Here is a 14,652-nt window from a genome sequence, read left to right as displayed (position 1 = left end):
ATCTGGGTGCTCCTGTATTGGGTGCATAAATATTTAGGATAGTTAGCTCCTCTTGTTGAATTGATCCCTTTACCATTATGTAATGGCCTTCTTTGTCTCTTTTCATCTTTGTTGGTTTAAAGTCTGTTTTATCAGAAACTAGGATTGCAACCCCTGCCTTTTTTTGTTTTCCATTGGCTTGGTAGATCTTCCTCCATCCTTTTATTTTGAGCCTATGTGTGTCTCTGCACGTGAGATGGGTTTCCTGAATACAGCACACTGATGGGTCTTGACTCTTTATCCAACTTGCCAGTCTGTGTCTTTTAATTGCAGAATTTAGTCCATTTATATTTAAAGTTAATATTGTTATGTGTGAATTTGATCCTGTCATTATGATGTTAGCTGGTGATTTTGCTCATTGGTTGATGCGGTTTCTTCCTAGTCTCGATGGTCTTTACATTTTGGCATGATTTTGCAGCAGCTGGTACCGGTTGTTCCTTTCCATGTTTAGCGCTTGCTTCAGGAGCTCTTTTAGGGCAGGCCTGGTGGTGACAAAATCTCTTAGCATTTGCTTGTCTATAAAGTATTTTATTTCTCCTTCACTTATGAAGCTTAGTTTGGCTGGATATGAAATTCTGGGTTGAAAATTCTTTTCTTTAAGAATGTTGAATATTGGCCCCCACTCTCTTCTGGCTTGTAGGGTTTCTGCCGAGAGATCCGCTGTTAGTCTGATGGGCTTTCCTTTGAGGGTAACCCGACCGTTCTCTCTGGCTGCCCTTAACATTTTTTCCTTCATTTCAACTTTGGTGAATCTGACAATTATGTGTCTTGGAGTTGCTCTTCTCGAGGAGTATCTTTGTGGCGTTCTCTGTATTTCCTGAATCTGAACGTTGGCCTGCCTTGCTAGATTGGGGAAGTTCTCCTGGATAATATCCTGCAGAGTGTTTTCCAACTTGGTTCCATTCTCCACATCACTTTCAGGTACACCAATCAGACGTAGATTTGGTCTTTTCACATAGTCCCATATTTCTTGGAGGCTTTGCTCATTTCTTTTTATTCTTTTTTCTCTAAACTTCCCTTCTCGCTTCATTTCATTCATTTCATCTTCCATTGCTGATACCCTTTCTTCCAGTTGATCGCATCGGCTCCTGAGGCTTCTGCATTCTTCACGTAGTTCTCGAGCCTTGGTTTTCAGCTCCATCAGCTCCTTTAAGCACTTCTCTGTATTGGTTATTCTAGTTATACATTCTTCTAAATTTTTTTCAAAGTTTTCAACTTCTTTGCCTTTGGTTTGAATGTCCTCCCGTAGCTCAGAGTAATTTGATCGTCTGAAGCCTTCTTCTCTCAGCTCGTCAAAATCATTCTCCATCCAGCTTTGTTCTGTTGCTGGTGAGGAACTGCATTCCTTTGGAGGAGGAGAGGCGCTCTGCGTTTTAGAGTTTCCAGTTTTTCTGTTCTGTTTTTTCCCCATCTTTGTGGTTTTATCTACTTTTGGTCTTTGATGATGGTGATGTACAGATGGGTTTTCGGTGTAGATGTCCTTTCTGGTTGTTAGTTTTCCTTCTAACAGACAGGACCCTCAGCTGTAGGTCTGTTGGAGTACCCGGCTGTGTGAGGTGTCAGTCTGCCCCTGCTGGGGGGTGCCTCCCAGTTAGGCTGCTCGGGGCACAGGGGTCAGGGACCCACTTGAGGAGGCAGTCTGCCCGTTCTCAGATCTCCAGCTGCGTGCTGGGAGAACCACTGCTCTCTTCAAAGCTGTCAGACAGGGACACTTAAGTCTGCAGAGGTTACTGCTGTCTTTTTGTTTGTCTGTGCCCTGCCCCCAGAGGTGGAGCCTACAGAGGCAGGCAGGCCTCCTTGAGCTGTGGTGGGCTCCACCCAGTTCGAGCTTCCCGGCTGCTTTGTTTACCTAAGCAAGCCTGGGCAATGGTGGGCGCCCCTCCCCCAGCCTCGCTGCCGCCTTGCAGTTTGATCTCAGACTGCTGTGCTAGCAATCAGCGAGATTCCGTGGGCGTAGGACCCTCGGAGCCAGGTGTGGGATATAGTCTCGTGGTGCGCCGTTTCTTAAGCCGGTCTGAAAAGCGCAATATTCGGGTGGGAGTGACCCGATTTTCCAGGTGCGTCCGTCACCCCTTTCTTTGACTCGGAAAGGGAACTCCCTGACCCCTTGCGCTTCCCAGGTGAGGCAATGCCTCGCCCTGCTTCGGCTCGCGCACGGTGCGCACACACACTGGCCTGCGCCCACTGTCTGGCACTCCCTAGTGAGATGAACCCGGTACCTCAGATGGAAATGCAGAAATCACCCGTCTTCTGCGTCGCTCACGCTGGGAGGTGTAGACCGGAGCTGTTCCTATTCGGCCATCTTGGCTCCTCCCAACAATGTATTTTCAAAGTTACTAAACTATTTTGGTAACTGTGGGGAAAAACACCATTATTTAGAAAATACATTTGTTTAAACAATATAATTTAATGGTCAGGGTATTGGCCTATGAGTTGGACAACAAAATTATCTGTAAAAAAATCAATGGACCACTTGATTCCTTAATTATTAAATTAGGATATTATTTACTGTTTCTATTCTTCATGGGAAAATTGTGAAAAGTATTACAGCTACTCCAATCAAGTGTTTTATATCATGTAAACAGCCAGTTATAAGAATGACAATTTTTAAATTATTGCTATAAATTTTTTTTTATAAAAGTCTTATTTAGCATTTCTGAAAGATGGCTAGATGGTAACACTGTTATTGCATGAAGAGCCTTGCTTGCGTTTAAGTCTTTCAGATAGATATCTGTTCTGAAGACAAAACATTTTGTATAAAGAAAAACATGTCTTCTACTTTTGGAATTGTGATTTCTCATATTGGTGTTGTATGATTTTCTTAATGTTACCATGATTACTTTTTTAGTGTATTTTGGGATCTCTACTGTGCAGCTCCAGAGAGACGTGAAACATGTGAACACTCAAGTGAAGCAAAAGCCTTCCATGATTACGTAAGTTAACATATAATTTTACAAAGTTACACTGTCAGTTTTCTGTTTAACCACTGCTCTTAAAAAATACACTGGCTCATCTATTCTTTTGTTTTGGTACTTAAGAAATTGTTTGGTCTCTTTTTTCTTGAAAAGTAGGTTCATAACTTTAAATGTGAAATAGAAAGGGGCATTTGAGTCTTGTTAAAGCTTAGGATAAAGCGTAGGCCTAATTCTAAGCTATTAAAGAAATTTCTTATCTTTAAGCATGTCTGATTTGTGAAATTTCAGATTTTATGAAAATTAAATATATAGTAATTTTTTTATTCTACAAAAACATTCATTATAAGATTTCTGTAAATGATAAATTTCTCCCTTGCACATAAGATTTTTGATTAAATATAGAAATACTCTATTCTTCTCCTTTTATAACTTTTGGTTATATATCATAAGGCTAAATATCTTCCCTGCTGAATTCACTTCCCCAAATAAAATTTATTGTGGATTAAAGGAAATACCAGACAAGAGTAGAAGATTCTGTGCAAAAATGAAAATGTAATTTTTTTTTTAATTCTTAAGGAACGGCAGTGGAGTGTCCTTGGCTTGAGCATTTTTTTTTAGAAGGACTGCAAATCTGATTTTAGAGAGCTGATAGTATCAGAAAGTAGAACTGTGAAAAGAAAAAAAACAGTGAAGATAAGAATGAGAAGATGGTATTATGAAGGGGCTAGGGAAACATGTTTGCAGAACTAACCATAAAAGAGGGACAGATTGAGTTTAAGATGGAGGAAATCAAGTTTCCTTGGTTGGGAGGAAGTGAATTGGGGCTGGAGCCTGAGGAAATAACTGATAGTAAGTACCTAAAACTTAACCATAGGGATACTTGTCAAGTTTGTGGAGGCTGGCATCATTCTGTGTAAAATGCCTTAAAAACCAGAACCAGCGCTCAAAAGGGAAAAAAGACCTTGTTCTTCCAAGGAAAATAATTCAGCCTTAGACTGAAGAGTTAGAAATGGCCAGAAGAATTATACCCTCCAAAATAGCATGAGGAAGAGCATGCAGACTTACGGGAAGTGAAAATCTTGGCTACCTGGCAGGGACTGTGCAATTCTTTTTTTTTTTTTTTTTTTTTTTGAGACGGAGTCTCGCTGTGTCTCCCAGGTTGGAGTGCGGTGGCGCAATCTCGGCTCACTGCAAGCTCCGCCTCCCGGGTTCACGCCATTCTCCTGCCTCAGCCTCCCAAGTAGCTGGGATTACAGGCGCCCGCCAACACGCCCAGCTAATTTTTTGTATTTTTAGTAGAAACGGGGTTTCACCGTGTTAGCCAAGATGGTCTCGATCTCCTGACCTCGTGATCCGCCCGCCTCGGCCTCCCAAAGTGCTGGGATTACAGGCGTGAGCCACCGCGCCCGGCCTGTGCAATTCTTTAAATGTGTACTAACCTTATTCAAGTGAGAGTGCTTGTGATTACCTCATCTGACATTGATTGTACTCATAAAGCTTGTTACACACTGAACAATAGCTCTTGGGGAACAATCTGAGTGAATGGGATGCTACTGCAAATAAAAAGTAGAGAAAAAGTAGATAAAGCAGGGCCCAGGACATGGGATTTATCTGAACAACCTCATTTTCCTTTTTTACCCTTGGTTGACAGAAGAAATAAAGCAGAGATCTACCCATGAAGAATATGAGGAATTGGATAGAGTGGGGTACCCCATCTCATCTTTTCCTTATACTAAGAGATGCGTGCCTTGATTTGGCCTGTCAGTCACGGGAGATATTGTCTCCACTAATTTTGACAACTAGATGGCATTAGAGAGTGCCAGTGTTCTACTCTTAAAGGAGATACAATATTTGATAGCCTACATTTTAAGAAATTAATCATATAAATACTTTTCCAAAATTGCATTCTGTAGAAAGATGTACCCTACTGTTCAACATGGAGATCTTAAGGGGAAAAGTGAACTAATTTAGCAGCTCTTTCTAAAAGCCTTGGATAAATGATCATCGTTGTCATCGTCACTTTCATCATCATCATCATCTTGCATTCATAAGACACTTTGAAAATTTCAAAGTATTCACACTTATTAGCTTTAGAAATACACTTAAATAGGTTTTGGAAATGAGCATTAGCCAGAGGTAGGAGTAAAATTCGAGTAGATTTTAAAGGAGGAACAACCCCTTACTGTGTAATTTGGTCCTTGGAAAATATAGTTTAGAAAAAAAATCAGTATTTGAATTTTATAATTCATTATGAATATTAGCACATTGTGTCAGATGTTTAATTTTAATTTAAATATTAGTTTTAAGAGATTTGATTTATTCTTGGATGCCATTTTTATTACATCTTAAAACCAATTTCTTTTCATGGTAATACATCTCTGATTTGTTTTTTAATTGGAGGCTGGTGAAAAGATAGAGTTTGACCTACATGATTTTATATTACAATTGGATTTTTAAAAATACATTAATTTCTTTTATGGTAATTTTCATGAATAGGATTTCCTAAATTCTTAATAGTAGATAATTTCTGAAAATGATTAACAAATTTATTTCTAACATGTAAATATAATAGTTTGAAAGACTTGGGGAAGAAAATGGAAAACACAGGAACAAACAATAAGATTTTGGTAAAATTCTAGAATGTTATATTCTGCATTTGAGTTTATTACAGAATTACTTCTATAATGGTAATTAATATGTTTACCTACTGAATTTTAAAATACTTTAATAATTTAAAATAAAGTACTCAAGAAAGCATTCTAAAAAATACTTTCTTCAGTAGCTGCGTTTTTAGCGTTAAAAATGTTCACTTGCATGTATAAATGTTTAAAATTAGTCTTATTATTTTATAGTTACTTCTTATCTATAAGATTGAATGAATATTGACACATAAACTACTTTTTAAAAGAAATACTGGAGGCATAATGAGGTAAATAATGAATAATTCTGTTAATTTAAAATAGGCCAAAATGTTAAAATGACTATCTTTTGATATTGGGATAATGCATGATTTTTATTTTTGTCTATGTATATTACTGTATTTTCCAAATATCTGCAATTATTAATTATTTCACATTCAGGAAAGTTACTTTAAAACAGATTAAATTTCACCTTTCAGTTAGTTCTAATCACTCTTCTGAGATGGGAAACTAAAAAACTTAATGAAATAAAATTTAAATTTACCATGTTACATGCACAGGCATTTAGCATTTCTTATGAAAGACATCTGTTGTTTTTTGTATGTGCACATATTGAGAGACATCCATAAACTGAATAGTTGTAATTTTCAGCCATTCTAAAATTTATTTTTAACCACGTTACTGAGGTATGATTGACATACAAAAAGCTGTACATATGTAATGTGTAAACTTGATGTGTTTGGAAATTAGTATGCACCCATGAAACCATCATCACAACCAATGCCATAAACTTATCTGTCACCTCCAAAAGTTCTCCCCTTTTTGCTTTATTTTTTCCCTTTTGTGGTAAGAGTACTTAACATAAGATATACCCTCTTAAGAAATTTTTAAGTACACAATACAGTATTGTTAATCATATGCCCTATGTTGTACAATGGATCTCCAGAATGTATTTATCTTATAAGACTAGAATTTTACATAGATATGGATTTCTGAAATCCATGAAGAAATAAATGAAGAAACTAATGTGGAAAAGAGAGAAACAGAACAGGATGACTTTATTTAAAGTTCATTTTATTGTAAAAATAATATATATTTTTTCAAAGTATGTATTTTAAACATCATAAGCACCCTTCTCTCACTGAAATATTTTTAAATTATAATCCAGTTTCTGGTAAATGTGAAAAGATGATAATGGAAAGATCTTTATTCCTTACTATTTTCATGCTGATGTTACACTGCCTGTGATTGCTGCCAATAGTATCAAAAAATTTAAAAAACATGATATTCTTTCAAAAATAGCATGCATTTTTAACTTACAATTGGAGATGTAAAATTCATAAAATTTATAACTTACTATGGGAGATGTAGAAATCATAGAAAATAAGTTAAAGATTTTTTTAAGTAAAAGTGTATCTAAATACCTTAGATTTGTAGAGTCATATTTTTATAGCCACTTGTTTACTTTTTATCCAGCTTCATTTAAAATGATTGTATTTTGGCAACTTGGAAAAGTGAATATATCTCTTACTTTTATTCTTTTCCCTTTGATATGAAGGAAAGAAACAAAAAATCATTAGCAAAACTCATCTTTCACTTACCCGAAACTATAGATTTGAATTATTATGTTGTCTTGTTTTTGATGGGGGTTGACAACTGAGATTAGAGGTTTATATCTTTTTTAAATAAATAAAAGCCTCACAATTTCAAGTACTATGTCTTTGATGGAATGTATACTATGAGATAAGTAATAGTTACTTAGCCAGAAATAATGGATAGAGCTATAATGATGTGACACTCTATTTTGTGCTCACAAGACTAGGTTATCTGTTTTTGTTTCTTTGTTTGTTTGTTTTTGAGACAGAGTTTCACTCTTGTTGCCCAGGCTGGAGTGCAATGGTGTGATCTTGGCTCACCACAACCTCCGCCTCCCGGGTTCAACCGATTCTCCTGCCTTAGCCTCCCAAGTAGCTGGGATTACAGGCCTGTGCCACCATGCCCGGCTAATTTTTGTATTTGTAGTAGAGATGGGGTTTCTCCATGTTGATCAGGCTGGTCTGAAACTCCCAACCTCAGGTGATCTGCCCACCTCAGCCTCCCAAAGTGCTGGGATTACAGTTGTGAGCCACCACGCCTGGCCTAGGTTATCTATTTTCAGACTTCATGAAATGTCTATAGATTTTGTTGCATTTATTTTTAGTGTTAATTTCTTTTATTCTACATATACGTCATATGCTTTCCATTGTCTCTTGGGTTTAAAATCACAAATGACTACTCCTATAATACAAGGAATTATTTGCAGCCAGCCACAGTAGATAGTTCTTATCAGTTCCCAAAGATCAGGTGCTTTAAACTCTCTAGAAGGAAAGACTCAGAATCTCTTGTAAAAGAAGGTACAGATATTTTCAAGGTGGATTTAAAGGTTTTCTTACCAAGTCAAACTTACCTTAAAAATGTATATATTTGTTAATATCTTTTTAAAGAAGACAAGGGCACAACTACTAACAAATGTAACTATGCTGTAGGGGAGGATTATCCTTGAGGGAAGTGATTTTGGTAGACATAATTTAGGATCATTCTTCTGACACAGGATTTTTCTCAGTCACTTTGCAAGCTGGGGACCTCTGGCTGGTGATGCCACCTCTCCCCCCAGTCTTGCTCAGCCGTGCTGCCTGCCGCAGGAAGCAGTCCACCCACTCGGCCCACCTACACACCAGCTCAGTCTGTGGCTGGGCTGGGCATGCCCCAGCCCGACTGTGTTATAGCTTATACCTGCATTTGGCGGTTCTTGAGTTCTTGTCCCGCATCCAAGAAGAATGAGGATACACTAACAATTGAAGGGTGAGAAGGGCAGAGAAGAATTTTGTTGAGCAATGAAACAGTTCTCAGTGGAGAGAGTATGCAAGGGTGGTTGAATACCTGGAATCGGGTGGTTTCTCTCCCAGTGTGGCTGAGCCCAGGGCTTTTATGGGCTCAGAATAGGGGAATGCATTCTGATTGGTTTGTGAGTATGCAAAAAAGGTTAAAACAAAGACACCACTGAAAGGTGGGCACAACAGTGTAAAAAACCAATTAGGGAAGGGTAGGTGTATGTAAAATAGTTGAATGCTGAGGATCAAACAGAGAAAAATGTGCCAAATGGGAAGACAGCTTCTCAATCTAGTCTGTGGGTTTGACCTTTAGCTTGGCTTTCAGGCTTTAAACTGTCTTTGGCTTGGAGGTGGGGTTTCACCAGGGATGCACTGTCACTTCTATCATTTGTTTATTAACTTTTTTTGAATACCTATTTATGTACAAATTACTTGGATTGAAGCTATGGGAGGTGCAAAGATTTATAAAAATTTCTCCCTTTAGGGGTTCATAATCTGTTTGGAAAGGTATACGAGCTGTGTACATCAAGAGTTAACTGCTATGAGTGTAATACAGATAATAACCCTATACTGTATAGGTTTAAATGCTGCAAATGTGCACTGGCTTTTGAATGATGACTAGGATTTGGATAAGACAAGTGCTGGGGAAGGTGTATCAGAGAAACTGGATGAAGTTGGAAAAATATAAGGTATATTTAAGGAACACTAAGCTGAGCTGTTTAACTAGAGTAGAAAAATCAAACACAGTATCAGTGCTTAGCTAACAGATGGTAGAATTTTAAAACTGCAAGGAGATTGTGAAATTATCCCACTGAAAAGCAGTTTCATGCTGAAGTCCCTGAATTCCTGGAGCATTGTAGAAGGGCCATAGATCGTGCCTAGGAATGAGAGAACACCCAATCATAGAGGTTCTTGGCCTCCTTCTCTTTTAACCAAAGCATTTCAGTTCTCCTCTATCCAAATTCCTTCTATTTTCTCTTTCTAATTAAATTGAATCTCTATATAATTAGTTACCCATGACATAAATGACTCTTCTTTTTATCCTCTTTATTCTTCTTTACCTCCAACTAGTTATCAAAACTTCCAAATCATTGCCTGAACACTGTCTTTTCCTCTGTAATCCCACTTTGGATGCCTTAGGTAACGTCTTCATCATTTCCAAAAGCATTAAAATAGCTATTTCTGCATCTGACTCAAACCCCCACCCCCATTCTAGAATTCTCAAGGGTTCTTGGTTAACTCTTGAGTAATAATTTTCATTAAAAAAATCTTTTATTCATTTACAACATCTCAATCCATTACAGTTCAAAAACTTTTAAAAAGTTTGAAAACTGCTTATTTTAGTCATTTGAATAGATAAGAAATCTGGTACCTGGAGAAGTTAAGGACATGTCATTGTTTAAAGACTGAGTGTGGTTTAACCATGAAAATTTAGGTTTTCCAAATTCTCATTAGTACTTTTCCAACTACACTGGATGAAACTTTTGCTTCATCTGCCATAGTCATTTTTTAGCATATTCAAAAAATAGGAAATTATATTTTAGGATGGTGAATCTGAGGGCATGATGAGGACTGAAGAAAGGCAAGGATTAAAGGCCAACACAGTTAGGAGGCTATTCTAATAGTGTTGATATACGCTGAAAATTCAGCCCCTGAATTAAAATGGTGACAAATAAAATGGAAAATAATGAATGAGAATGAAGAAGAAAAGAGACTGTCTAGTTGTAAGTATTGAGGAAGAGAGAAAAATTAAAAATAATTTGTAATTAATGTGGCTGATGATATGGGACTTGTGATATGCTTAGCAGAAATCTGAAATTAGGGAGGAAGAACATAGAGAAAGTGGATTAAGGGATAAGAGTGGGTTAAATTAATGAAGTAGTAAAGATAAAATAAGAATTGAGGCCTGGGGATAGAAAGGTGTGAAAAAGGCTCACATTTAAGGAGTAATAGGAAGGAAGAGACTAGCATGAAAACAAGGGAAAATACAACTTGGTGAGAAGTAAATACTTACCACACTAGGTAGACTGACTTGGATAGCATAACTGTTATGTTCTGTAACCCAGTACATTTCCCAAAGCTGTTCACTGTTTCAGAATGCTTCCAGCTCGAACTCTGCATCCCAAGGCAACTAATTTGTTTGGTGTGAACATAGTATCTTGAGTACCTAAGATATTCAAAAGCTGTTTGTGGTTGTTGAAGCAAGACTTGAGACTCAAACTATGTCAATGGCTGAATGATTTTTGTAGGGCACAATTTCATTTTAGAAAGTAGTCAAGTATTGTATAAGGGGGACAACTGGATTCAAATTTAGGAAAAAAAATTAAATGGACTTAAATGATCCATGGCTTCTTCCAGAAGTTTTGGAAACTTAGATTAATAGGTAGGGAAATCTCTCAACATATTAGCCCTTTCTTCAATGTAGCTATGTTTTAGCAAGCATGTATTGAATTACCAGTTAAGAGCAGTGTAAAAATTCTCATACCTTAGGGAGGTAAGCATATTTAAAGCCTGTAAAAATACATCATGTTCAATTTGATAGCCTAGTGGTTTGTACTTAATTGGCACTCAATAAATATTTGATGAAAGAATGGCTGGATAAATGAAAGAATGTACATTCTTCAGGCATACTATTTCTGAATGAGATGCCCCCAATTCTGCGGGAACATTGTACCACTCTTACGTGATTCTTTCAGTATTACTTCTTGCTTTCCTTTGATTATTATCTTGTCCTGTTTATCACCTTAGCTCATCCCTCATTCTCATCATTATCCTATTTTTGCCATTCCTAAGATAGATATGAGAAGGGAAAATAAAGGAAAATATCTTAGAAATGAGGTCATATTATAGTTTTTATTATGGACAAAAGCCCAAATACATAAAGGAAATAGGAAGTCTTCAGATATCACAAAATGACTTCTATCTTCTTTACAATAGTACACCTTAATTCAGCGTGTATATTAGAAACTATGGGGATATTTTCCATATGCAAATCTTATCACAAATCTTATCATAGCTGTAATACACAAGGCTGGCTTTTTACTTTTTGCTCTAGCCTGGAATATCCTTGTGAAACAACATTGGGAACTTGCTATAAGTTAATTCTGTGGAACCTGTTTTATCATGGGCCACCTACCTATATAGCCTTATCTTTTCCAGACCAGGAATATAACCACTGATCTTTTCTTTCCATTGTCAATTTTTCCTCTCACAGGCCTACGCCTTTCTTTTTGTGTAGGATTCTAACTTCATTCACTACAGAGAAATACAAGAGGTAGCAATAACACTGGGAAGGCTAAAGAGGATTGGGAATCTCAACAAAATTTTACATTTGGAATATAAATGGAAGCTACCTGTTTTTGTCTCCACATTCACATTCTTATTTATTTAGGAAGTTATGGGGAGAGTCAAGTGGGTGGGGCATTGTAAGTTCCCAAGTCATTGTAAGAATGATTTAGAATATATTCTTGCTTAATTTCTATCTTGTCTGGATGAGCGTTCAGACATCTTTGAGTTCAGACCAAGATAGGATTGACCTGACACCACTGCTAGGTCTGGTAGAACTTGTGGTTTCCTTGGAACCCTCTTACTTTCTAAATGGTCTCTGTGGGAGGTCACAATGAATGGGAGGGCACTTTCCTAGCTGACCTCAGAGGTTCTCCCAGCTATTCAGCTGCCTTTTACTGCGTAGTTTTCATCAGCTTTTCACTTGCTGGGTCTTTCAGACTAATTCTACCTTTGAGAGAAACTAGGCTTTTGTGTTGCTGAATGTTTGGGTTTAGTTTCCTCAGTGCCTGTGAGGTTTTAATAGCAGGTGTTACTTAGGGAACTTTCCTGCTTTTTAATACTAGTTTCCTTCAGTTACTCTTAGCCAACTCCTAGATTTTCCTGGATCAAAATTGTGCATCTAGTTGGATGAATTTCTCTTTCTTATCTGAGAGATGCTCATTTCCAGAATAAAATGATTCATGCCTTTCCTCAGGGACCAACCTGTTTGGGTCTATTTCCCAGATACTCTTTGAATCTGTTCTCAACCGTTTTTCCCCCATTTAAATTCTGTTAAACAGTAGTCAACCTTAACAATTTCCACCAGTGGGAAAAGTTAGGTTTTCTTCTAATATTTCTGCTTCTGCCTCTGAAAGCTCTCCCATCATTCAGGGGAAAAAACAAGCTCTGCGTCTATAGTGAGTACTATCCCAGTGAAATTATGAGGCTGGCTTTCAGTGCTTTGCCTGGTTTGCTTTTCATTCAAACTACTAAGTTAAAATGTTTTTCCCTTCTTTTTTCTTAATTTTTGAAGTGTTAAAGTAATAGCAAGACTAAATTGAAACAAATAAATTACTCTGAAGTTAAAAAATCCTAGTAGGATTTTTCCCCTTATTTTAGGAAGTTTATGAAGTGATAATTGTATATAGTAATTCAAACATATGTATAGTTCTTACGGGTTTTTAGCCCCTGTCTGGTGCAAAGGGCAGCAGATGCTTACCTCACTCATATTGAAAGACTAGAATAGTAATAAAGGGAGATGGATAGGGAACTAGAGTTGATTTATTTAATTTAGATTGTTAAAAGAAAGAAATTTAGGACTTTTTAAAGTTGAACTGCGATTCCTGTGTAGCCCTTTTAATTTTTTTGTACTGATAATGGAAGTTAATTAGAAATCTAAAGAAGGAATAATTTATCATGTCATTAAATATTTCTAGAAAAAAGTTTGTGCATATTTTTTCTTGAGTAAAGTATAAGAAGATAGACACTGTACTTATTTTACTATAGTGGTGCTGTCAAGAATAAGAGCATAAGAACTCTCTCTGTTGAGGGAGTCAATGAATTGAATCAGTTAAAACAGATTTATAAGGGTAAACAGTAATTCACTTTAGGGTTTTAATTTTTGTAGTTTAGATATTCTAAGCTAGTAGGGAAAATATTTTTTAATTAAACTGGTCCAAAATATTTAAAAATAAGCAAAAAGTAAATTTTTGTGAAATTTGACATCTTTGGGGAGTTTCAATTAACAAATTTCTCAACTAATATTTTCATTTTCAATGGAAAATACACTCTTATAACATATTACATGTTCAATACTGTCTAAAATTATCTCATCCCTTAGTGCCTCTAAAACATATGAAACATTTAAATTTTAAAGAAATTAAGATTTTGTTTTGTATTATGAATTGAAACACTTAATTTAAGGTCTTTGCTGCCGCTTTACCTGGAAGTGACATCGTGGTAGCCTTGTGGCCAAATTGAACTTACTCTGGATATTAAAAATGTAAGCAAGACTGTGCAAGCTAATGCATCATGTTTATATTTGACAGATAATTAGTTTATACAGTTTAAATTACCATACCTATCTTCTTTTCTTTTTTTCTCCATGGGGGATTAAAAGATTTTTGTTTGTCTTGGATCAGCTAAAAATTTTTACAATGCAGAAGGATAAATTGGAACTTGCTCCCTACTAGTCATGTCCAATAATTCTAGAAAGTACCTCACTCCCATTTTCATATTAAAGTTGATTTTCTCATGGGTTTTCCTACCATTACTTTAATGTGGTCAGTACAAAGCACACCACATTTTGGCTAACTTAGTTGATGATGATGTGATAAGAGTGAGTGTAAACATTTAAGAATTTCTTTTCAGGTTACATGTCAAGTGATGTGCCAGGAAAAATCTTGTTGTTTTTTGCTATATGAACACAGCATAGGACTACTGTAGAAAAAAAAAAAAAAGAAAAGAAAAGAAAATTCATGAAGCCATCACTGTAGCTATGCCAGCAGGCATGAAAACCTTTTATCTCATGTAAATGAGATTGCTAAAGAACTTTACAATGATCCACTTCCCCTTAATGCATAGTAAATATAGAATTTTTATTTATGATTTTCTTTATAACATTTTCTTTTCACTTGCCTGTATTTTTCTAAGTAGTCTGCTCCCCTGTTATACTTCTTGGAATGTCAGTAGTACAGCGTTTAATATAACATGTATTTTTTCCCTCAGTGCAATGTGGTCAATTATTTTCAATGATGGTTTGCATATATTTTCTTATTAGGCTCAAATTTTGTTTGTGTAAATTGTTTAGAAACACTAAACTATTCAGAAGGACATTCAGAACCTTATTTGTATATGCTCATTGTATTTTTCAAAATTATAGTATAATATAGAGACCATAGAACTATTTTTTATAAAATTTAA

At 36.2% G+C, this 14,652-nt stretch overlaps 1 protein-coding gene across 91 annotated transcripts in view; it reads left to right on the top strand.

The window, feature by feature from the left end:
* The window catches only part of SSBP2 (single stranded DNA binding protein 2), a 339,004-nt gene that overhangs the window by 133,363 nt on the left and 190,989 nt on the right, over positions 1-14,652 (top strand). For 81 of the 91 annotated variants that reach the window (NR_174563.1, NR_174533.1, NR_174553.1 and 78 more), the window contains one exon: positions 2,888-2,972. The exons of the other annotated variants lie outside the window; for them this stretch is intronic. Coding sequence is in view for 35 of the 81 variants with exons in the window: in NM_001400354.1 (NP_001387283.1) it covers positions 2,888-2,972 (85 nt within the window). In the remaining 46 variants the exon portion in view is untranslated. The remainder of the gene's footprint in view (positions 1-2,887; positions 2,973-14,652) is intronic. 91 annotated transcript variants of the gene reach the window in all.

The sequence above is a fragment of the Homo sapiens genome, chromosome 5, assembly GCF_000001405.40.
Source record: "Homo sapiens chromosome 5, GRCh38.p14 Primary Assembly".
Lineage (NCBI taxonomy): Eukaryota > Metazoa > Chordata > Mammalia > Primates > Hominidae > Homo > Homo sapiens.
This window is presented reverse-complemented; position numbering and strand designations above follow the sequence as displayed.